Source organism: Homo sapiens, chromosome 18 (genome assembly GCF_000001405.40).
Source record: "Homo sapiens chromosome 18, GRCh38.p14 Primary Assembly".
NCBI lineage: Eukaryota > Metazoa > Chordata > Mammalia > Primates > Hominidae > Homo > Homo sapiens.
In genome coordinates this window covers 10,830,303-10,855,652 of record NC_000018.10, presented here as the reverse complement: position 1 = coordinate 10,855,652, position 25,350 = coordinate 10,830,303, and the positions used below count along the sequence as shown (strand labels likewise).

Genomic DNA, 25,350 nt, shown 5'->3' with positions numbered 1-25,350 from the left:
CACATAATTTCAAATAGTCACATTCACTGAATGATAAGTGAATTTCCAGTTCTACCTGACTTTGTGATTACGTTTCTCTTCCTTAGGCATGATGTTGCCGTCTTTGACATCATCTGTGTATTTTTTTGTATTTTTGGGTCTGTGCACCTGGTGGTCCTGGTGCCGGACGTTCGACCCATTGCTGTTCAGCTGTCTCTGTGTTCTGCTGGCTATTTTCACTGCTGGACATTTGATTGGACTTTATTTATACCAGTTCCAATTCTTTCAAGAGGCAGTTCCACCCAATGACTACTATGCAAGGTAAGAGAAATCCTTATGGCATTTCCAGGAGAGGTTGTCCCCCCACGCCTTTGGGACCTTGGTTTGGCATTGTGAATTTACAGGGGTTATTCTTGATGGCAGGCAATTGCTGTGTTAAGCAAAGATTTTGTGGGGGTGGGTGAAGCAGTCTAGCACTTTCATTGTATTGGATGACACAGTCTGGAAGGAAGACAGTGGTCTCTTCAGATGGAGATGCCGCTGGGATGCAGGAGGACAGGGAGCTGTCATGTGTAGGAATAAGACACAGAGTCTCAGCTGGGGAAGAAGATCAGGAAGAACATTTTACACCGAAGAACAATAAGGATGTGCCACAGCATCCAGCTAGAAAGGCGTTTCATGGGCCTAATATACGAGAACAAATTAAGCGTCAGAAACATTAACTAATTGTAAAAGCTTAAAAATAAAAGTCCCAGCCTGGGCAACATGGTGAAACCCCATTCTACAAAAAAAATTAGCTGGGCATGAGGGCGCACACCTGTGGTCCCAGCTACTCAGGAGGCTGAAGTGGGAGCGTCACCTGAGCCTGGGAGGTCAAGACTGCGGTGAGCCATGATCACACCGCTGCACTCCCACCTGGGTGACAGAGTGAGACCCTGTCTCAAAGCAAACAAACCAACAAACAAATAAATAAGAAAATACATAAGTCTCTGGTGTGAGAGAGAAAGGGAGAAACATCAAATACTTTGCTTCGATTGGAGATGACTATTACACCAAATCCTTACTATGAAAATGAGAATTAAAGGTAAAGAATCTAGCATTTACTTTGACTTTTAATAAGTCATTCTCAGTGAATGAGAGAAAATTCCTCCATGCAGGATGATGTTAGATAATGACAGGGCAAAGGAATAATAGAATTAGAGAATTACTATTCATCAATCCTTAATGATATGTTCTATTATGTCCACACCTGAAATAATTACTATAAAGGTCGTGGTGGTTGCACAATGACAAAGTAGAACCTTGTTGGTGCTTGCTAATTGCAAAGAAAAAAAATAACATCTTTCCAAAGGTGTGATCAATATCTTGAGGAATTGATTGAAGTCAACATGATCAAAACTGAGATAGCTTAACATTTCACACCTCTCAGTGTGATGCAACAGATGAGCTATACAGCATCATATGGTTAAGACTTTTGACCTAACCTCCCATTTACAGAAAATATAAAGGCTAGGAAACAGTTTAAATAGCTCCACAAGAAAAACAATCAAAAGAATTCAAAATGTGGATTCTGCAAGGCAAATGAATGGGTCTTTAAAAAAAAAATCAGCATGGAAAAGAGGCCTGCATAGAGAGTGGAGGCAGCAACTGTCTAGTTCAGAGGAGCACAGTAGATACTTAAACCTGTGTGAAGCACAGCTGTAGATCAGATCCTGGTTCAACAACAAATTCTTAAAACTTTTTTGGGGTTAAATTGGAGAAATTTCAATGTTCACTGGATATTGGACTATAGAATTATTGCTGATTTCTTAGGTGTATGATGGTTTTGTGGGTAGACAGAAAAATGCCATTATTTTAGGAGATACATGGTGAGTTATTTAGATAAGCTGTGCCTTGATGTCTGCAACTTAAAAATGGCTTAACAACCAACATAATAGATTGATAGATACATACATACATAGGAATAGTTAACAGAGAGAAGACAAATCAAATTATTTAAACTAGGTGATCAGTATAGGGTTATCCACTGTCCTATTTGAACTTTTCTTTGCATGAGGAAAGGTTCATAATTGACAGTTCCAGAAAAAAGAAAGGGGACAGAAATGGTAATGTTAGCAGTGAAACACATCTGAGTCTCGCAGCACCAAAGTATGTTACTGACAGCGAATTCCCATGGATCTGCTGCAATTTCAATTTTTGCTTCCTTAGAAAAATGAATTCTACTGAGGTGCATAAGGCAGGAGAGACTGAGGCAAGTTTTGGAGCAGGAATGAGTGACAATGTATTAAAAAGCTTTAGAGCAGGAATGAAAGGAAGTGAAGTACACTTGGAAGTGGGCTAAGCAGGCGACTTGAGATCAAGTGCACGGTTTGACCTTTGACTGGGGTTTTATACATTGGCTTGATTCCGGGGTCTTGGGCCCCTTTTCCCCTGATTCTTCCCTGGGGGTGGGCTGTCTGCATGCACAGTGGCCTGCCAGCCCTTGGGAGGGGCTGCATGTAGTCTGTTTACTGGAGTTGTGCGCATGCTCACTTGAAGTGCTCTTCGCTCACTTGAAGTGCTCTTCCCTCACCGAATGCTCCTACAAGGTCATGTACCAGTTAAACTCCGCCATTTTACCTCTTACTGCACATGCTTGAGCCCACTCACCCAACTCCTGAAGTCTTATCGGGAAACTGTTGATCACCAGTTTTGTTTTTTTTCTGTATATTGGGAGACTGCCTTCCCAAGCCCCCAGCTGCAACCAATTACTATTTTAGAGAAACAGTGTAAAAACCTCCTGACTATCACCTTATGGTCTCCTGACGTTCCCGGTTGGTGGGTGGGGGGTGCCCTCTCCTGCCCCACTCATGCCTGACCACTTACCTCTGTAACAGTAGAAGAGGGTGTGAGTGTTAGGTGAAGACGGTGCCAGAATTCTCTCTGCTGTGCCTCTGGATGGTAATGTAGTGCTTTTTGTCTTCTTGTTGAGAAATGAGGAACCTGCAATTTAAAAGAACATGAATATTATTACCATACCAGCAATACAGGTTTGCATCCTTTCAAGACATCATAATGTGGTTTTAATGTGATCGTAAATTATAAAGACAGAATGTGTGAGAGGGCCCAGTGGCCTTGCTTTGATTGATTTATGTGTAAAATTTGGCCGTGGTAAAACTAGTTGTGGCTGACTGTGTCTATACAGTGCTAACAAAAAGAGAGAGAGAGAGGGCACATGCTATAGAGAGCTATTCAGTCAAATCCTTTAAGACCACTTAAATTCAGTTAAAATAAGTAAAAGTTGGTGCTGGACACAAGCATCCACACCCACACACACACACACCCATCCACACACACACATTCCCACCTTATTCTAAATCCAGTTGGCTCAGTTGATTGTATTAGCCTGGCAACTGGAGAAGTGAAATTCAGTCTAATAAGAAAAGAATTTTGTATAGACACAGTAAAACTGGGGAGCCTCTTTAATAGTGCATATTCACATAATATTTACTCCAGGCAGAAGTGAATAAAAGCTAAATTTCAGTGCAGACATTATTTCTAGACTAAATTAATGCTTTTAGTTTCCTTTAAACGTTTAATTTTTAGTTTGTTGAACACATATAGCAAAAAGTTTTGTACTGCTGAAAGAACTGCCTTTTAGAGGATGACTTAATTGAAAATGTAAATATCCTCTGTAGGGCAGAAGTTTTTTGGTTTTTGGTTTATTCTTTCTACTGGCTTAAGGATCTTTTATGCCATCTAGCGGCTGAGGGTAGAAAATACAAAGAATATTCAGAACCACCTCGAAAATACTAGATCAGGCAAACTTTCTCTGTAAAGCTTAGTAAATAGTTAAGGCTTTGAGAACCATATGCTCTTTGTCACAGTTCTTTCAAGAAGTCATTATAATGTGAAATCAGCTGGGCACCATGTAAAATGATCATGGCTGTATTTCAGTAAAACTACAAATACAAATTTGCATTTCATATTCCTTTTACATTTAATGAAAATTTTTTTAAATTTTTCCCCAACCATTTAAAAATGTAAAAATCATTATTAGCTCATACATGGCACCAAAACAAGCACTGAACTACACTTGGCGCAGGGGCTATAATTTATCATCTTATGGTAAAGATATTAACAGTTCTAATAGTGTAATAACATCATATTTGCTCTTCATTTGAATTGTCATAAAAGTAAAATTATAATTTATTACAGACATTTCGGTACATCATCCCCTTAACAGTTTAAAAGGTCTGTTATTATAATCTCATAGAGTAAGACATTGGAAGTTAAGTTGCTTATCAGGGAATAGAAAATGTGAGCTAAACAATGCAGTATGTAAAGTTCCTTGTTGTAGATTTCCTCCCCATTAACTTGCCGATAACAGGACATTACATTTTATTCCTTTAAAACATGGAAATTAGCATATTTAAACCATAGCTTTATCCTAGGGCATAATTTCAGTGTATTGTTATTAACCCCAAACTCTGAGTTGGAAGAAAACAAACTGCAGACTGGCAAAAAAAAAAAAAAAAAGATAAAAGAAAAAAAGAAAAGAAAAGAAAAAGAGAAAGAAGGAAACAAACATAGAAATAAAGAAAATCACCATGGGTGGGTGTTTATCACAAATTTCATAACCACGGAGACTCCAGCCCTTCTGTCTCACTTCCTGGATAGATAAAGCTGCCCTTAAAACAGTCCAAGCAATTTTTATCTTCTGGTAAAAAAGCTTTCAAATGTGCTCTCTGGTGAGAATTAACCTTATTTTTAGAAATATTGAATTGATATTTTTTGTCACACTGTTATACTAAACACATGTTTTTTGGTCATTTGGAAAAATAAAATAATAAGAAAAAACACTTTAAAATGTAATCCTTATTCCCAGAAATAAATACTATTGCTTTTTAGCCAAATTTTTTTCAGAATCTTTCTTATGTCTATAGGTACTTTTTACAAACAAATTTTGAATCATATTGCACATACTATTTTATAATTTGCTGTATTTATGCAAACTGTGTATTTTCCTATGTTATAAAATGTTCTAAAATGTAATTTTCATAGAGTGCAAAGTGATTGTGTAGCTATATTAGAATTTAGTCAACCCCTGAGTTTTAACCACGTAGATGATTTCTCATTTTTGTTCTCATGAATAAGGCTGCAACAAGTGCCCACATTACTTCTAAATCTAAACAAAACTTAATGATGAGCAAGTTGCAACCCCACATTCTCGCAGCTGTGAAAGAGCCTTTGCAGGGCTGTGGGGGTGCTTGCTTCTGCTGGAGGATGCACAGGTGTCCAGGTCCTAGGCCAACATAATGTTAACTAGCTTACCGGTTTGCGATGCCCTCCCCATGCATATGGTATAAACTGAAATTCCACGCCGATGTGTGGCACAGGGCTGGAGTTTCATTTTTCTCTAGAGTAATCCCTTCTTTTCACCCCATGGTCCCAAAAAATCACGTGCTTCCTTCCAGTTTCATCTGCACATGTGGTTGAGTTTTTGCATTACTTTTATCCAGGAGAGGGTGAGAATTAGTGATTCCCTTCCGTTTATGCACACAGGTGTGGCACGAGCATATTTTCCAAAACAAAATGTAGGACTTATTATGTGACAGAGATAGGTGTACTTAGGGGAGGTTAAGATACTGGGTCTGAAATTGAGATTATTCTTCCCAAATCTGAAGTGCTGTAGTCTATTATAACAATAACTGCAAAACTCAGTGACCACACTCAGAAGTTGATCCAGCAGAAGAAAGCTTCAAGTGTATCCACATAACTAAATCTAAGACCAGTAATATACCATTCAAAACAGTCTGTTTAAAAGAATAGAGCCCTATGGCAGCTGTTAGTCTGGCAGGTCTCCCGAAGAAAAATGGTGAACTAAACAAAATTTGCCTCAGCTAATGCAAAGTAATTTCTTCCAAAGGTTTTGTATTTTCATAGGGAATTTCAGTAGACAGCAAACACTACAGTTTGCAAGACAGGAAGCAAGAATGGAAGAATTAATGTTATGAGGCTGATGTTCGGTTTCCCCCAGCTCGAGGTGTGCATATCCTCATGCGTTTCCTACTTGTAGGGCTGGCCCCGTTTACGGTTCAGGGATCCTTGGGCGGCTTCTGTCCTATAGGCATCCTGCGTTAACGATGCAGATGGTGCCCTGAGCAAAGCAAAGGAGCCGGGGGCGGGAGGACTCAATTCCTGTTTCACTACTGGGAATCTGTGGCCTCTGAGAGGCTTTAAAACACACCTGTACGTGATAAACTTGAGTTTTTCTACTTGGTGGTGCTTTCAGTTAAAAGCCAATTTTAATAGTTTGGCCGCACATCACAGCCTGCGTCCTTGTGAAGAAGATACCTAAAGAAATTCTGGATTGGGAGAGGGGCCAAGCGCAGTGGCCCAAGCCTGTAATCTCAACACTTTGGGAGGCCAAGGCAGGTGGATCACCTGAGGGCAGGAGTTTGAGACCAGCATGGCCAACATGGCAAAACCCCGTCTCCACTGAAAATACAAAATGAGCTGGGCGTGGTGCCACACACCTGTAGACCCAGCTACTCGGGATGCTGAGGCAGATTTGCTTGAATCCAGGAGGCAGAGATTGCAGAGGTTGCAGTGAGCTGAGATCGTGTCACTGCACTCCAGCTTAGGTGACAGAGCGAGATTCTGTCTCAAAAAAAAGGAATCCTTGGGTGAATTCTTCTAAAGACACTTCTTGACAAAAAGAGGGCTTTTTGTTGGTTTGCTTATCTTGTGGTGATCTGGATAATTCAGTTTAAAGTTCTGAAGTACTTAGAGTGGAGGGGATGGCAGGAGGCTGAAATGGATGCCTATGATTTCCTTCATCATAATGTAAACACTTGGAACCTATAGATTTATTTCTAGATCCTACTAATGAACATTTAGCATATGTTCAGCACTGAAATGAGCATGCAACTTTGAACAATTCGTTAAGTTGTCTCTTTTAATCCTTGACTGGCTTTCATTCCAACTCATGAACTTTCTCTAGATCATTCCCAAGAGTCACTGCAGGGGTCGGACTTGTTTGCTCAAGTTCAGTTTGTTGTTTTGCTGCTTTTCACCTTACATTGTGAGGTTTCAAAATGAAGGGTGGGAAGGAATGGGAAAGATTCTCAGCCCATTCTCTATGAAAATAGCATTCTCTCTTAAATAAATGTACAATGATTTGTCCTGTTACCCTTTTTTATCATCTACTTCAATAAATCATGATAATTAGAAAATGAATTGTTTAGTGAAGGAAAAGCTCACGTTTCTGTCAATGTTAAAACAATGTAAAATAAGAAACAGCAAAACCTCAAATTCTAGCATGATGAGTTTCTTCTAAAGTTAAAAAACAAGCATTCCAAGTGCAATACCATTTATGTTTATACTTTCTTATAATAGTTGTAAAATATCAATTATATGCAAGGAGAAATAAGTGCCTCAATGCTGTATATCTTTCTTCTAGTTTGGAGAAGCCAGTGGGGTCATCTAGAAAATGAAAGAATGCAGTCAGCTCTTCTGTTAGGTCTGCCGCGGTCTTGCTTTGCAAGCGGCTACATAATCCGGTTATTGAAATGAATGTACTTTTGCACCCCATCAAGATTGCTAGAGTGTGCCTGTCTTGCATTGGGGTGATCTGAAGTTTCATAAACAGAAACAGCACAGAAAGACTAAATTGTGTTTAATGGAGACCAGTTGGCAAAACCTTCATCTGAAATCGGTCCAGTGTGTGGAGAAAAACAAATGTAAAGCACGTTATTATAATGCTAAGGAATGCAAATGAACCCAACCAAGCTACCACTTTCCCTTCACCTTTTTGTTAGAAGATGGCATTGGCAGCAGTTAATCTCTAGTGTTTAATTTGTGAAGTTGGCAGATGATACATGATAAACAAGTGTAGGTTTCATTTTGAAAAGATGCTTAATGATGAAGTGACTTATTCTACAGGTCTCATTCAGAGTTCATTTATGCTTATCTGAAAGGTAGAGTTAGGTGCCCCAAGAGAAATTGACTTTACACAGATAAGTGGAAAATCAACAGAACTTAAATACTTGAACTCTGAGTTCATCTGGACCTTGGTATCGTTTGGGGGCCTACGTGGGTGTAGTGGGGACCGGGATCCCAGGGCAATGAGGTGTCCTACTCAGCCACGACACCTGTACTGGGTACAAAAGCAACTGTGGCTTCTCGCCGAGCCCACGGGCCTTTGCACTGCGTGTTTATCCAGCCCAGTGACCTAAGACTTCCCCACTGCACCTTCCAGACTCTCAGCCTGGATTAAGTGTTCTGGGCCAGATTTCTCTCCTTTTGCCCACCAAGGGCATCTCCACGGTCTTCCTTTCAGTTTTTATGGAGAAGATGCCTCTGTGGGCACCTAGAATTCCCCACAGTTAGCCAGACTCAGTGACTCATTCTAAAGGGTCCATAGCTAGGATTGCAGCTCACCTGCAGTCACCTGCCCCGGCTGCCGTCATGTCATCTGGCCAGCGAGCATCACATGGGTTCCACTGATTTAATAATACCACACTAAGAGGATTCTGCTAATGCTCAACAGCTCATTCCCTGGAGTCCACGGGCTCGAGATTGAACCTTGGCCCTGCTATTTTCTAGGCAGAGCACCTAGCAGAACTTTACTAAAACTCTCTGTACCTCTGTTTCCTTATTTATAAAATAGGGGTGAAGATAGTGCCCAGCCCAGAGTGGGTGGGTGTAGTAAGCAGGAGAGAGCATATCAAGTGCTACTGATTTTTATTGTTGTAGTCATCAAATATTTTTATTATTCAAACTCACTTCCCCATTTCCAACAGTTCTAGCCTTATCTCCCATCATGCCTGCAGTTCCCCTGTGCACATAAAGCAATTCCATCCCTTATACTGTTTCCTTTGCTGGAAATCTCCTGCTCACTGCTCTCACTGGCTCCTGTTTGTCCCTTAAACCTACCCATGCACCTCCTTCCAGAACCTTCCATCTTCCTTTATAAGGAAGGAAAATTATCTTGTAGGCAATTATTCTGTGCAAACTTGCTTTATAACACCAGCTGCATTGGGCCATAATAATCCCTTCATGCATATGTCTGACTCACTAGGACCCAGTTCTTCAGAGCCATGATGGGCTTTTTTGGCTTTGGTACTCTCAGGATTTAACACTGCTGACATACATTGGCCTCTCAGGAACTCTTAGTTCAAGCTTCTTTTCTCTCTCTGTTTCCTAAAACCCTTGTATTTTATCTCCTTATATATCAGAATAATGTAAAACTTGATTTTCTTGAACTCTAAGTGATAGGTTTTGCTATGACCCCACCCAAATCTCATCCCCGGTGGGAGGTGATTGAATTATGGGGGCAGGTCTTTCCTGTGTTGTTCTGGTGATAGTGAATGAGTCTCACAAATCTGATGGTTTTAAAAAACGGGAGTTTGCCTGCATGAGCTCTCTCTTTGCCTGCTGCCATCTGTGTAAGATGTGACTTGCTCCTCCTTGCCTTCTGCCATGATTGTGAGGCCTCCCTAGCCATGTGGAACTGTAAGTCCAATAAACCTCATTCTTTTGTAAATTGCCAAGTCTTGGGTATGTCACTTTCAGCAGTGTGACAATGGACTAATATACTAAGCTTCAGATGTGGCCACTGGCTATAAGATGTGTGGGGAAATTATTTTCCAGAAAGGTCATCATCAATCTTCATACACCCACGGCACTCCCACTGCCTCAATCCATCCACAGATTATTGAATATGAAGCTCTGCTTAGGAACTAAGTGAGGCTTAATGGTATAAGTAGCCATGGTTCTTAACGTGGTGTTTGCAAATATTTAGTTTTTGCTTTAGAAAAATGATGGGCTTTAAATGTATTTATTTGAGAAACTCCAAAAGACCTTTATCCTTGATGCTTAAAATAAACATGCCTAAAGTAGTCAGTAGCTTTAACTTTTGAAGACATGAGAGACTTCAGTTTCTATTCAGTATGTCCTTCAGAGACCCAGTTTGCTTTTCATTGTTGAGAGACACTGGGTAATGTTTCTTAATTAATGTGGGGGTCCTGGTCTTGAAAATGGGGCTCCTTTACCTGCTGCAGAGCAGTGTGGTAGAAATTAGTAAGACAGTGTGCCCGAGGGCTACCCATCCTGGTAACTAGCAATCAACCAAAGAATGTCAGTTCCATGTTCCCCCTGGAATTTTCTGTAGAAACACATGTATGTGATTTTTTTATTATTATTATTAAACTGCTACATGTGAGGGTTAAGTCAGGATGTCTTTACTGATTTCCAGTTTGTGTGGAATCTAGTAATTTAGTAAAATCTAATCCAACCAAATAACTCCTCTTTCATAGTCTCTTAAAAGCCTAACCACCATCCTTGTATTACTGAAACAAAAAAATAAATCCTGTCTCTGGAAAAAATTAGTATTATTTAATTGTGTTTCTTGGTATTCTCCCAGTGAAACAAAACATGTTCCTTAAACATAGTTGAAGTTGTGTGTGTGTGTGTTTATATATATATATACACACACACACACAATGGGAAAAATTATAATAATAATTATTCCCCATAGGTTATGAATATTAAATGGATTAATATTTGTAAAATGGTGTCTGGTATGTATTAAGAACTATAAAGAGGTATTTGTTAAATACATTAGTTAAATACATTGTCCTCATAGTTAACTAGACATTCATCATTTAATTAAAACTATAATAACATGTAAATATAGTTTGTCCCATATCTCGTCTTTAAACTGTGATTTCAAACAAATTTTGGTTTTAAGCAATCTACTTTTAGGTGCTTGTGACCTGACTAGAAAGTGCCGTCATTATTTGGTCAGTTACTTTGTATGAAGCACTTGCTGAGTGTCTTGCATCTCTCATTTAATTCTCATAATAACCCTATGAGGTAGGTACTTTTTTTTTTTTTTTTTGAGACAGAGTCTCCCTCTGTCGCCCAGGCTGGAGTGCAGTGGTGCCATCTTGGCTCACTGCAACCTCTGTCTCCCAGGTTCACGCCATTCTCCTGCCTCAGCCTCCCGAGTAGCTGGGACTACAGGCACCCACCACCACGCCTAGCTATTTTTTTGTATTTTTTAGTAGAGACGGGGTTTCACCATGTTAGCCAGGATGGTCTGGATCTCCTGACCTCGTGATCCACCCACCTCGGCCTCCCAAAGTGCTGGCATTACAGGCGTGAGCCACCGTGCCCGGCCAGTAGGTACTGTTATTTTTATGTTCATATTTTAAACAATGCAGAAAAGCCACCTTTATTTTTATTTTATTTTATTTTATTTTATCTTTTGAGACAGTCTCACTCTGTCACCCAGGCTGGAGCACAGTGGTGCAGTCTCGGCTCACTGCAACTCCCGCCTCCGAGATTCAAGTGATTCTCATGCCTCAGCTTCCTAAGTAGCTGGGACTACAGGCATGTATCACCACACCCGGCTAATTTTCGCATTTTTTGGTAGAGATGGGGCTTCGCCATGTTGGCCAGGCTGGTCTCGAACTCCTGGCCTCAAATGATCCGCCCTCCTTGGCCTCCCAAAGTGCTGGGATTACAAGCGTGAGCCACTGTGCCCAGCCCACACCTTTATTAAATGACAGAACCAGGGTTTGAGCCCAATTCTCTCTGACTTCTAAGGCTGTGCCCTTATGACCTACACTGGGCATAATCACCTTCATAACATAGTAAGCCGACATAGTAATATGTTTCTACAGCCTTCCTGGAATGTTTATGAAGACTCCCTTCCTACCATCCTGTTCCAGAACAACTTCGTGGTAAACCAGCCTTTGCACTTTGTCACATAGAGGTTTGGAAGCTCAGCAATTTGAGCCTGCATGAGGGACATCTGTAGCCATAACACCATGAGGTAGCCCATTGGTCTGGACCTAATGGGTGTGGAGTGAGCTACTCTTGTTGGATGCATAGCATTTGAACCCTGGCAGGGAGCACTGCTGGAGAATTCACCTGGCAACTCGAGGTCGGAAACTGTATCTCATTGACCTTTGTGTCTCTCAGTATCAAGTAGCATGTCAGCATGCCCGAGGTACCAATGAATGCTTGCTATGTGAAAAAATTACCCTTTCTACATTTAGTCTTTCAAAATACGAAGTGGATAAAGATTAGGCATGGTTCACAGTTAAATTTTTTTCTAAATTTGCTCCAAATGATCATTATGTATGGACATATCACAAACTATGGCTGAATAGTACATTTAGGTGCTTTCAAGTTTAGAAATTAATAGCAAATTAGTGGTGGTAAATTTCTTGAAGTAGAAAGATTGACTTTTTTCAAGTTAAGAGAACAGCGTATAAAATGAAATCTAAAGAGATCTTTTGAGAAATCTCATTCTGAAATAAAACAATTACTTAGCTATCAAACTTTTTATTGGAAAGTGTGAGCGTATAAGAAATGAAATCTAAAGAGATCTTTTGAGAAACCTCATTTTGAAATAAAACAATTATTTAGCTATCAAACTTTTTATTGGAAAGTGTGATCATCTTGTTTGTTAAGAGTTAAGATCCTCATCCATGTTCTGTATTTTAATTTATTGCAGCAACACCTCATTAATTTTTCAGTTTGATTGTAGATAAGCCAATTTGGCTGCTTTGTGAAGTATTTTGAGAATAAATATACCAAGATATATTGCCTCATAACTACTTGGATTGTTGAAGTTCAGAATGTTGCTTATGCAGTAACTTTTGCTGTTTTATCTGCTTTTTAGCTCCAAGTAGCCATGACTCAAGGATAAGAGATTAGCTCTTAAAATGAGAAGCAAGATACTTTTAAATTTTCCCTACAGAATTTGCTACAAAAGCTTTCTGCTAAGACAACTTGACAAACGTTTTAATAAACTTGCTTGTTACTCATTGTTGAGTTTTTCTTAACAGCTTTATTGAGGTATAAATAATATGCAGTAAACTGCACATATTTATAGTGTCCAATTTGATAAGTTTTGCCATAAACACATCCATTGAAACCATCATCACAATCAACATAATGTCTTAGTCTGTTTAATGTTGCCATGAAGGAATACCTGAGGCTGGGAAATTTATCAAGAAAAGGGGTTTATTTGGCTCACAGTTCTGCCGGCTGTACAAGAAGTGTGGCGCCAGCATCTGCTCCTGGTGAGGGCCTCAGGCTGCTTCCACTCATGGCAGAAGTTGAAGGGGAGCCAGTGTTTTTAGAGATCACAGGGTGAGAGAAGAAGCAAGAAAACAACAGAGAAAGTGCCAGGCTATTTTTAACAACTGGCTCTCGAGGCAAGTAATAGAGCAAGAACTCACCCACTTTCCCTCCCCAACCCTTCATGGAGGGCATTAATCTATTCATGAGTGATCTGCTCCCGTGACCCAAACACCCCTGATTAGGCACCACCTCTAACCTTTGAGATCAAATTTCAACATGAGATTTGGAGGGGACAAACATCCAAACTATAGCAGATAAATGTACATTCATGTATATTAGGTTGGTGCAAAAGCAGTTGTGTTTTATGCCATTAAAAGTAATGGCAAAAAAATAAAAAACAAAAATAAAAAAATGCACACCAACTTTTTTTTTTTTTTTTTTTGAGACGGAGTCTCGCTTTGTCGCCCAGGCTGGAATGTAATGGTGCGATCTCGGCTCACTGCAGCCTCCACCTCCAATGTGCAGACAATTCTCCTGCCTCAGAGTACCTGGGACTACAGGCGCACACCGCCATGCCCAGCTAATTTTTGTATTTTTAGTAGAGACAGAGTTTCACCATGTTGGCCAGGATGGTCTTGATCTCCTGACCTAGTGATCCACCCGTCTCCCAAAGTGCTCAGCTTACAGGTGTGAGCCACCACGCCCTGCGTTGCACCAACCTTGTATATATTAATATATGTGTGTGTGTATTTAATCCTGTAAAAAAAATAAGTGGAGTTACAACCCAAAATTACAATACTATTAGCTTTTATAATTGCCCATGTATTTACCTTCAATGGAGATCTTTATTTCTCCACATGGCTTTAAGTTACCATCTAGCTTTCTTTCATTTCATCCTGAAGGAGTCCCATTAGCATTTCTAGAAGGGCAAGCCCCCCATTCAGCTTTTATTTTGAAATGTCTTAATTTCTCCCTTAATTTTGAAGGACAGCTTTGCCAGATACAGAACTCTCAGTTGACAGGTTTTATTTTTCTTTCCTCACATTGAATAAATCAACTCACTGCCTTCTGGCCTCCAAATTTTCTGCTGAGAAATTAGTTTATAATCTTATTGAGGATCTCTTGTACATGATGAGTCACTTCTGTCTTGCTGCCTCCAAAATGTAGCTTGCCTTGGCCTCCCCCACTGTGGCTCAACTACAAGCTACATCTTTTCAGCTCATGAAACTTGCCAAACTCTTTCTGGGTTTCCCTCCCAGCACCAGGGGAGGGAATTTAGTGCTGAAAACTCTCTTGATGCAGTAAGCTTGAGCAATTTTAGGGATTATCTTGTTTTTCTCTCACCCCTCAAAGATTGAGATCTACTCTGATATATCTCAAAGATTGAGCTCTCCATTGCCTGATATGCAATGTCTGCCAAATCATTGTATCATATATTTTTGATTGTTCCAAGCAGGAAGGCAAATCTAATTCCTGTCACTCACCTGAACAAGAAATAAAATTCTGTGGATTTATTGTTGTTATGCCAAAAGTTCAAAACGTTGTCTGTCCCTTCCTCTACAAATCATCTCAGATCACGATGCTGGCAAACACATTGAGGAACCTTTCCTTTATCAGGAACTGCATATGGCTCTCCTCATATCCCACATCTAACTAGTGTGCCTGTGTCATCACTGATGGGAAGGAGTTGGGTAATAATCTGAACACTCAATTAAAATTCACTGGGCAAGAGGAATGCATGTTTTCTAACATTTTTCTTGCTTCTCTGGAGAATCTGGTCTCCAGACCCCAAATATAACTGTCAGAAAGAATCTGGCCACAGTGACAGCTATGAGTCTAGTTCATATAGCAGATCCAATTCATTTATGTAGAATGCCTGTTAAAGTGACTTAATTGATTCAATTTCAGTATTATCCAATTACATATTTTCTGAGAGGTGGACTGAAATCTTTTTTTTTTATTGTCAAAAGTGGATATTTTGGATATTTACTATAAATAGATTACTTGTATTGAGCTAGATTTTTCTCACCTATTATTCAAGAGAGACTGGGTTCACTTAAAATTATAGAAGAAATCATACTTAACATTAATGTTGATATAAAAATGGTGTATTCACCTTCCTTCCATTGCTACCCTCAATAAAAAAGGACCAGCTCTAACGTTCATTCTCATGATTTACTGGATTTGGAACGGTTAATGTGACCACCAATTCAATATTTTACCCTTCTAAACCTTTTAATTTCATTGTGATTAACATACATGGCACAAGCATGCATCTCGATGAAAGTAAATTATGTATTAATTTTATCTCTATGACATCAAAAATAAATTAAAAATTCTTATAGAACAAATTAATAACATGCATTTATTTTTTCATAAAGTTAGTATTTGACTTTCTCTAAACTCACTTTGAGCTACGTTTCCATGGTACATGTTACACATTAAAATATGTTATGTATTCCTTAAAAAGTTAATTCTCAAGAATGATCCTTTTGACCCATACTTTTTGTCAGGTCATGCTACCACAATATTTCTTGGAAAGTTATAGCTATATTTCATGAAATTAACTTCAAACAGTTAAGACTTTATCCTCCCAAAACAGAAACATTTAACCTGTACTTTAAGTGAGAAGATGCAAGTTTTTGTGAGACTCAGCCAATTGTTTCTTTTCCTAGATACGCTTGTTTCTTTCTGAGCATCTGTAAGTTTACATACAACTTCTCTTACAGAAGATTTATTGCTTTCCCCGTTACAGCACACCTCCAAAAAATTGATTATCCAGTCTTTTTGCTTAGCTTTCTGGTAAAAAAAAATGATACTCCTTGGTCAATAATTCACAGGCTTATCTTTAGTGTCCTTGCTATAGATTAAAATGCAAGTGCAGAAAGCCAGCTACTATCCTGGGGTTGAGATCTTCTCTTGGGTTCAGTGAGCAGCCTCCATGCCCTTCAGGGTTGACTCCTGCTGCTTTACTGCCAAGCCAGACATGGGGCCAGCCATCATCTCCTCCCTCCACCAGCCAGCACATGAAGTGGTCTGGCAAAGTAATTCTATGGGAGGAAAAGCTTGACAATCATCGGCATAAGGGCTTAACAGACCAGAGCTAGTTGCCAAAAACCATTCTACCATGGTTGAGTAGTATTCCCTCTAGAGTGCAGTGCTCTTTGATGACAGGGGTGATATCCTATTTATCTGGATATCCCCACCACTGCAGGTAGAACCCAACACAGAGGACACAGCAAATACTTGCTGAATAAAAGGACAAATTAATAAGTGAGTCCTGTAATGGAACTATCCCATGACTAATGCTTTTTCTTTAGAGTTTTCTGGTACTTTGAAAAATATCACATTATTTTGTCTGAGAAATAAGGCAGTGGGATGATTTGAGGCCAGCAGACTGGGACTTGTGAGTTTCACTATTTACTATTTTTTCAGTTATGTGAAACTTAAATCTCTACATATTCTAGAAACAATAGCAGATGCCTTGCAGAGCTGTTGGTTGACATGTAACTCATCAGAGGAACCCTCCACTTGCCATTACTCTCCCTCTCTTCTATGTAACTTTGGTTATTGACTATGTAAGACTTTAAAATGTGGCATCTAAACCCATATTTATATTATAGCTATTTAGGGGAAATTATATTTGTGGGTAATAGAAGTGCCTACATTTATGACCTCTCATCTTGGGCTTCTTGATAGGGAGGGGAGGTTGCCTGGCTTACGTGTTGAGCTACGTCTTGCTGTCATAGGAAGTAACCCAGGAGTGTGGAAGACCAGCTGGTCATGGGAGTTCTGGTTCTGACTCATTTCTCACTTTTCTCTCAGAGGTGACAGTGTGTTCAAGCATGGGAAAGAGGCCATAAATTTGCAACACTCATAGAATATAAACATTCCCTTATGAACCCTACAGATGACATCAGAGAAAGAATGCCTGTGATAATTAAATGTAAGCCCCTTCCATGTGGCCTCTATTTGTCCACCACCAATCATAGTTCTGAATACAGCACACCCTGCACCTGATGCAAAATTGTCCTATGAACAGATTGCTTTTTATTATAAGGCAGTATCCTGCAAACATAATATGAAGCCCAATTACAGTAAATTGGCAAATAGTTAAGACATGTTTGTGCCCCCAAAAGCTTCAGAAGCATGATGCAGAGCCCAGGGGACTCAGTGCAAAGTTTTTCCAAGGTTGAAAAAACAATGTAGTGTGAAATCTATCAGATTACAATTTGCTCACACACAAAATAAAATATCTATGGGTTTGGCATGGAAACATGTTTAAAGCATAAGTAAGAAACCAATAAAAAAAAGATGGTTAAACATTGGCTGTGTTTTCCATATGATGCAAGGCAGGGGGTAGGGTGGGAAAAGGAATTGGAAGCCGAACTAGCAAAAACTTATTGTAAAAGACAGTATTATAGGATGGGATGCCACAAGAAATGGAGAGAAACTTGCTGGAAAGATACCTTAAAGATACTTTAAAGACAGTTCTAGCCTTTTTCCCACAGAGACGCTTGTGTAACATGGAGGAAATTTTGCTGGGTGTGGTGGCTCATGCCTGTAAACACAGAACTTTGGGAGGCCGAGGCGGACAGATCACCTGCGATCAGGAGTTCGAGACCAGCCTGGCCAACATGACGAAACCCCGTCTCTACTAAAAATACAAAAATTAGCCGGGCATGGTGGCAGGCACCAGTAATCCCAGCTACTCGGGAGGCTGAGGCAGGAGAATCACTTGAACCTGGGAGGTGGAGGTTGCAGTGAGCTGAGATTGCACCATTGCACTCCAGCCTGGGCGACAGAGTGAGACTTCATCTCAACAACAACAACAACAAAAAAAAATGAGGAAATTTTATAAAATGGTTGGGAACACAAACATTGCTTTGTGAGGATATCTGACTACCCATGCCTTTTTGATGGTATGTCTTTGTTTTCATTCATATGTAAAAATTAATTCTGTTCTGTCCACCCACAGTTAGATTTTAGGCCTTTTCTTACATAGATTGTACCATAGAATTTTGGATTGGGAAGAGATATTGATACCATCTACCAGTGGTTCTCAAGCTTTCTTGCTGGCCCCAACATTCTAAAGGATGTGCATGGTGGTAAGGATGGGTCATCCTCATTACCCCCATTCCAGCGAGTCCAGCGTGATGGAGCACTCTACAGGTACCTGGATCAGCACTGTGGTATGGAAGGTGAGAGAGGCAAGATGGCTGCAGTTGGAAAAGGTATTCTCAGAAGATGCTGTGTTCCCCTCACAGGGGACTTCTTTTCTTCCCTTGAGGATCAGTGAGAACTTAAAGGCTCTTCTCATTCTAGACTTAGGAAAGTATAAAAACAAAGTTAGTGAAAGCTGTCAAAATAAAATCCCCTCAAAGCATTGATTTCCAGGTTCTGTTACCGTCCACAACAGGAGTGCACACCATCCCCTCCTCCTCACATGCTTCTTGGCATGGAAAGAGTTGTGAGCAATCCCTGTGCGAAGAGTGTTTCTTTGCCTAAGAAACTAACATACAGGTTATGAGTGTGTAAGAGTGATTATACCCCACAATAGAAGAATGTGTGTTTTGCTGAAACCAAACCACAGTTGTGAGTATCCTCAGTGGCCCTTCCCCTTCCTTTGATCATATTACCAAGATGAAATAAATACATTTTTCTTGGCAAAAAACCAAATATTAATAATGGAACATAAAACAATGTTGTAAATTCTGTACATGTTCCCAACCACCACTCCAAATCCTCCCAACCTGTGCAGATATTACCTCCCCTTAAGAGATCCAGTTCACTTGAGCAGGATTGAGGTTCTATTCCATCTTAAAGAGGACACTTGTATCCTCTTGTTTGCCAATGCCATCAATATGGTATTAAGCTCTGACCTAGGCATAAGACAAGTTTATGTTATACATTGTCATAATAATGATATCGTTGTAGCCAGGATTTCTTGACCAACTATTATAGGACATGGCCTATGGTGTGACTTTATATGTTTGACATCATATACCTCATTACCTTAACCTAGTAATTAGCCACAAAGTAATGGAATTAACAATAGCTTCACATTAAACAGTTGCAAGTGATCTGGTTTCTAGTTGTAGCTCCTTTCCTCAATATAGTAAGTGACCTTGAGCAAGTTACAGCCGGGCTAGCAAAGTGGGGAGGTATTGGGTAGGGATGGGGAGGAGACAGGAGTGGAGAGGGAGAGGTCAGCAATTGCTAACATTTTTTTCATCTCAAAAATATTCATGATTTGAAATAGATCCACAAGCCTTCAAATAAGTGAGCCAATAAGCTCAGGATGGGATTGTTTGCTTAGACAGGAGTCTACTCACTACTGAGAGTCAGCATTATAAATTCCAGGAATCATCAGTCAAGGGGGAAGAGTTGATCTAACTCCCAACTCTTAAATAGGAGATAAGGGGAGTGATCCTGGAGCATAACTAAGTGTGTCGAGAGTAACTTTATTCCATTTTGTGGTACTTTGCTCATGTAATCCAGTACCTGGGGGAATCATCACAAACTGTTCATAAAGTCACAGGAAGGAAAAAAAGCATAAGCGACATAGGCTTATTTGGACCTGTTTACATTAGTTTCTGACACTGATATTACTCTGTCAGAGTGAGCAAACATTTTTCACAAAGGACATTACTATAAAAACTTTCATCCGATCTTTGCAATCGAGCATTTGCAAAAGTACTGTGAGTCAGAGTTGGACTTTAGTACAAATTACTCGAAATTTAAATGATCAATGTAAGAACTCAGGCTGGACGCGCTGGCTCATGCCCGTAGGCCAAGGTGGGCGGATCATCTGAGGTCAGGAGTTCGAGACCAGCCTGGCCAACATGGCGAAATCCCATCTCTACTAAAAATACAAAAATTTGCCAGGTGTGGTAGCACGTGCCTGTAATCCCAGCTACCTGGGAGGTTGAGGCAGGAGAATCACTGGAACACAGGAGACAGAGGCAGCAGTGAACCGAGATCGCGCCACTGCACTCCAGCCTGGGTGACAGAGCGAGACTCCGTCTCAAAAAAAAAAAAAAGAACTTGGTTAGGAGTTTTACTGTGTAGCTAAGTTTGGTTCCAGGCATTCTGCCAATATACCATTATGTGCATATTTTAATGAAATGATGGTGTAAAGAATGCTGGAAAAATAGAGAAAAGATATCTGGAAAGTTTCTCTGTCTTTACAGAAAGATCTGTTTTGTATTTGACAACAAACACTCTTCTGTGGCTTCTTGTTCAGTATTCTAAATATGGAATGTCTCTTTCTCATCCTGTGTTTTCCACCTCCTTACCAAAAAAAAAAAAAAATGAGGTCATTGGAGAGGCCTTTAACCTAGGAGAGCTGCAAAGACTGTTTGGGCTGTTATAATAATATACTGTAGGTTGGGGGCTTAAACAACAAACATTTATTTCTCATAATTCTGGAGGCTGGAGAGTCCAAGATCGAGGTGCCAACAGAGTCGGTGCCTGGCAAGGGCCCTCTTCCTGGTTCACAGATAGTACCTTCTAGATGTGTCCTCACATGATGGAGGGGTGAAAGAGCTCTCTGGGTCCCTTTCATAAGGGCACAGATCCCTTTCATGAGGGCTTCTCCCTTGTGACCTAATCGCCCCTCAAAGGCCCGACTTCTTAATACCTTCACATGGGGAGTTTGGCTTCAACCTAAGAATTTTGGAGGACACAAACAAAACAAAAGCTTATGATCACGCCCTTGTGAAAGTGAGAGTGATGGAGGCAGGTGTGGGAAAAGGGCACTGGAGTTTCTTGTGAAAGCTAGCGGGGAAGAAACTTAAAGGAAGAGCCTTTCTGAGGCTGGTGTTCTAGGCACCCTGCCTTTTCTAGGAAGCCTGGCCTTGTGGAAAGGGAAGGGCTTTGGAGTTCAGACAGGCCAGGCTTCCTCTCTGATCTAGCCTCCTGCGGCTTTGGCTTCTTCTTCCTACAGTTGCTTACATGATACCTACCTCATGAAATCAGAGAGGTGTTAAAACAGGCTGTGGGTGTCAAGTGCCTGACACCCAGCAGGGATTCAATCACATTCTGTTGCATTCTCCCAAAAAGACTCTGTGACTCCATCATGAGGGATTAAAGGGGAAGCCGGCACCTGCATCACAGAGTGGGGCTGGGCTAATAGTGATAATATCATAGTTGTAATAGTTAAGGTGTATTGAGCACATAGTATTGTCGGGTGCTAGTTACTTCATTTAATCCTCCCAACAACTCCATAAGGTGTGGTCTACTTTATTATGCCCATTCTAAAGACAGGAAAATTGAGGTGTAGATAAGTGATTTGCTCCAAGTCACAGGATAGAGATGGCAAAGCCAGAGTTTGAATTCAAATCTGACTCTAAGTATTTGACAGCACAACAGAATGACTACAGTCAACGATAATGTACTGCATATTTTAAAATAACTGAGAGTGGAAATGGAATGTTCCTAACACAAGGAACTGATCAACGCTGTAGGTGATGGACACCCCACTTACCCTGATGTGATTGTTACACATTGCATGTCTGTATCAAAACATCACCTGTGCCCCATATACACTTACCCATAAAAAATAAAAACAGAAATTAGCTTAAAATGTTTAAAACTCTAATTCTGAAGCCTGTATTCTAAATCACTCTCCTATTCTGCTCTTCTACTGCATGGAAAAGTTTTGAGGTCTGTAGAAAAGCAACAAAGACAAGGATTAGGAGGAATGTGGTCCAGGGCCAAGCCTGTGTTGACAAGGGCAACCTTGGCTTCAGGGAAAGGGCAGCCTAATGCGTTTTTTAAACAAAGGATTTGCAGATGCATTTTTGTAGGCAAGTCTTGAGGCTCCAAACTGGGGAACAAACACATATTTGACCCAAAGCTGACTAGAAAGAAGAAAGTGTCTCTCCAGAGAGATATGAGAAGCTGAGAGGGCTTGGGTGAAGCCTGCGGGTAGACACAGATTGGAACTGTACTTGGCTCTGGAAGCCTCTGCGAGGTGAGGTCCTCACAGCTTGCGTGGTTCAGGTGCAGTTTGGGCTGTACAATCTCTCATCCTTGTAGTAACTGGGGGCACAGACGGGTTATTCTGAACTCCAACAGAAATAAAAACCCACCGGGGAGCGAGCTGCCTGCATGTTCTGCCACCTTCAGCCCCGCCCCAGGAGATTCCAGGGGTTCTGGGGCAGGGCCCAGTGTTAGTGCTTTAGAAGATCCCCACATGATTCCAACAGGAGAGGGCGAGGCTGCAGGTGTCACAGTGGGCTCCGAAGTACCAGAAGAAAAGAGAACACAGGAAAAATAAGTGAATCCCAGTGCGTCAGAACTGTGTTTCATCTCTGTGCTGCCACTGACGCACCCAGGGTACCTGTTACCCTGGGCTTCTGTCTCTGAGCCCTCAACCATGCTCCATGTGCCATGTTCATGACGACTGCCCCATCCTGCCACTGTGTTCCTTGGGTGTTGCTGCCTCTCTGCCAGGAAAAGCCACACTTGCTCTTCTGGGGCTGAGATTTCTCTCGATGGCATGTCTGCCAAGAGCTGCCAGCAAGGCATATTCTGGAGAAATACCTTCCACATCCCTCAGAGCCTCCAGGATCCTGTAGTGGGCTCATGGGAGCAGCTGTGTGAGGAGAGTGCACCCCCGGAGGGCAGGCAGGGAGGCGGAAACGTGGGCTCCTCCAGCCTAGGGACCTGCCCACCAGTGTTTTTCAAACTATGGTGAAGACAGGAGTTACCTGAGGTGCTGATCAAAAATAAATGCTTATCCCTGGGCCCCACCTGACTTGGGAACCCGGAATGTCCATGGCCCGGGTCTGAGAATTGGCATTTTAACAAGGAGCCCACGAGGAGAAGCACTTCATATCACATAATCCTGGGCGGGTGGAGCCACCGTGTGTCTCCCATGGAGGGAACTGATGGAATTGCAGAGCGGTACATTCCCGGGTAGTTCTTTCCTGCGTTTGTTCAGTCATTAAACAAGTACTGTTATTAAGCATCTACTCTCTGTTCTTGCTAAAGTAGACAAAGTACCCCTCCCATCTCCACAGGGCCAATTGGGTCTCTATCAAAACATTGCTCAGCTACTTACTAGGCGCTGTAGGCATTGGGTAAATTACTTAACCTCTCTGTGCATGAGTATCTTTGTTTCTCGTATTAGCATAATAGTAACCACATCTCCTTTGGGTGGCAGATGCTCTATGTGAGCCTCCATCAAATGAATAAGATACCCACATTATAGCTTGTCTACATGTGGTAGCCCTTACTTTCACATATATCCCCCCCTTCCCCTAAATTCTAATGAGAAAGTAGAAATGTTCTAGGCCTAATGAGAGTATTTCCAACTCTGTTTTTGTTTTGTTTTGTTTTTTTGAGACAGAGTCTCACTCTGTCACCCAGGCTGGAGTGCAGTGGCATGATCTCGGCGTAGCTGATTACAGGTGCCCACTACCACACCTGGCTAATTTTTGTATTTTTTGTAGAGGCAGTGTTTCACCATGTTGGCCAGGCTGGTCTTGAACTCCTGGCCTCAAGTGATCCTCCCACCTCAGCCTCCCAAAGTGCTGGGATTACAAGTGTGAGCCACCGCACCTGGCCTCCAACTCTGTTTAATTGTATCTATTCAGCATTGTTTTGGGAAGAACGTTGAGCTAATCAGTGCTTTCCAAGCTATGGTAGCCTGAGAATCACGGAGCTTGGGGACCAGAGGGACATTTGAAAAATGCTTACCCCTGAACCTCACCCAGACTTAGGAACACAGAATACCTAGAGATGGGATGTGGAATGTCATTTAAACATTTTTTTCATTTTTAATTTTTGTGGGTACATAGTAGGTATATATATGTATGGGGTACATGAGATATTTTGATTCAGACATGCAGTGCAATGCATAATAATCACATCAGGTTAAATGGGTATCCATCACCTCAAGCATTTATCATTTCTTTGTGTTATAAACATTTCAGTTCTACTCTTGTAGTTATTTTAAACTGTACAGTAAATTATTGTTGACTGTAGTCACCCTGTTGTGCTATCAACTCTAGATTTTATTCATTCTATTAATATTTTCCCCACCCCACTACCCATCCTAGCCTCTGGTAACCATCATTCCACTCTCCATCTCCATGAGTCAGTTTTTAAAATTTTTAGCCTCCACATGTGAGTGAGAATATGCAAAGTGTGTCTTTCTGTGACTGGTTTATTTCACTTAACATAATGACCTCCAGTTCCATCCATGTTGCTGCAAATGGCAGGATCTCATTCTTTTTTATGGTTGAATAGTACCATTGTGTGTAAGTACCACATTTTCTTTATCCATTCATCTGTTAATGGACACTTAGGTTGCTTCCAAATCTTGGCTATTGTGAAGAGTGCCGCAGTAAACATGAATGTTCAGATCTCTTCGATATACTTCTTTCCTTTTTTTCTGGATATATACCTAGGAGTGGGATTGCTGGATCGTATGGTAGCTCTATTTTTAGTTTTTTTGAGGAACCTCCGTACTGTTTTCCATAGGGGTTGTGCTAATTGACATTCCCACCAGCAGTGTACAAGGGTTCCCTTTTCTCCACATCCTTGCTAGCACTTTTTATTGCCTTTGTTTGGATAAAAGCCACTTCAGCTGGGGTGAGATAATTTGTAGTTTTGATTCGCATTTCTCTGGTGATAAATTATGCTAAGCACTTTTGCATATGCCTGTTTGCCATTTGTATGTCTTCTTTTGAGACATGTCTATTCAGATCTTGACCAAATTTTTAACCAGATTATTAGATTTTTTTTCCTATTGAATTGTTTGAACTCCTTATATATCCTGATTATTAATTCCTTGTCAGATGGATGGTCTGCAAGTATTTTTTCCCATTCTGTGAATTGTCTCTTTACTTTGCTAATTGTTTCCTTTGCCGTTCAGAAGCGTTTCAATCTGATGTGATTCCATTTGCTCATTTTTGCTTTGGTCGTCTGTGCTTTTCAGGTATTACCCAAGAAATCTTTGCCCAGACCAATGTCCTGGAGATTTTTCCCAATGTTTTCTTTTAGTAGTTTTATAGCTTGAGGTCTTAGATTTAAGTCTTTAATCCATTTTGATTTGATGTTTGTAAATGGAGAGAAATAGAGGTCTAGTTTTATTCAAGTGCAACCAGAGGCATAAAAGGGGGGAAAGGACAGTCTCTTCAATAAATGGTGCTAGGTTGCATTGGTTGTCTGTGCTTGTGGGGTATTATGCAAGAAATCTTTGCCCAGACCAATGTCCTGGAGATTTTTCCCAATGTTTTCTTGCAGTAGTTTCACAGTTTGAGGTCTTTAAGTCTT

At 40.7% G+C, this 25,350-nt stretch overlaps 1 protein-coding gene across 11 annotated transcripts in view; it reads left to right on the top strand.

The window, feature by feature from the left end:
* Positions 1 to 25,350, top strand: part of PIEZO2 (piezo type mechanosensitive ion channel component 2) — a 479,323-nt gene that overhangs the window by 293,917 nt on the left and 160,056 nt on the right. For all 11 annotated transcript variants that reach the window (XM_047437735.1, XM_017025918.3, XM_047437736.1 and 8 more), the window contains exon 7: positions 87 to 300. In XM_047437735.1, the coding sequence (XP_047293691.1) occupies positions 87 to 300 (214 nt within the window). The remainder of the gene's footprint in view (positions 1 to 86; positions 301 to 25,350) is intronic.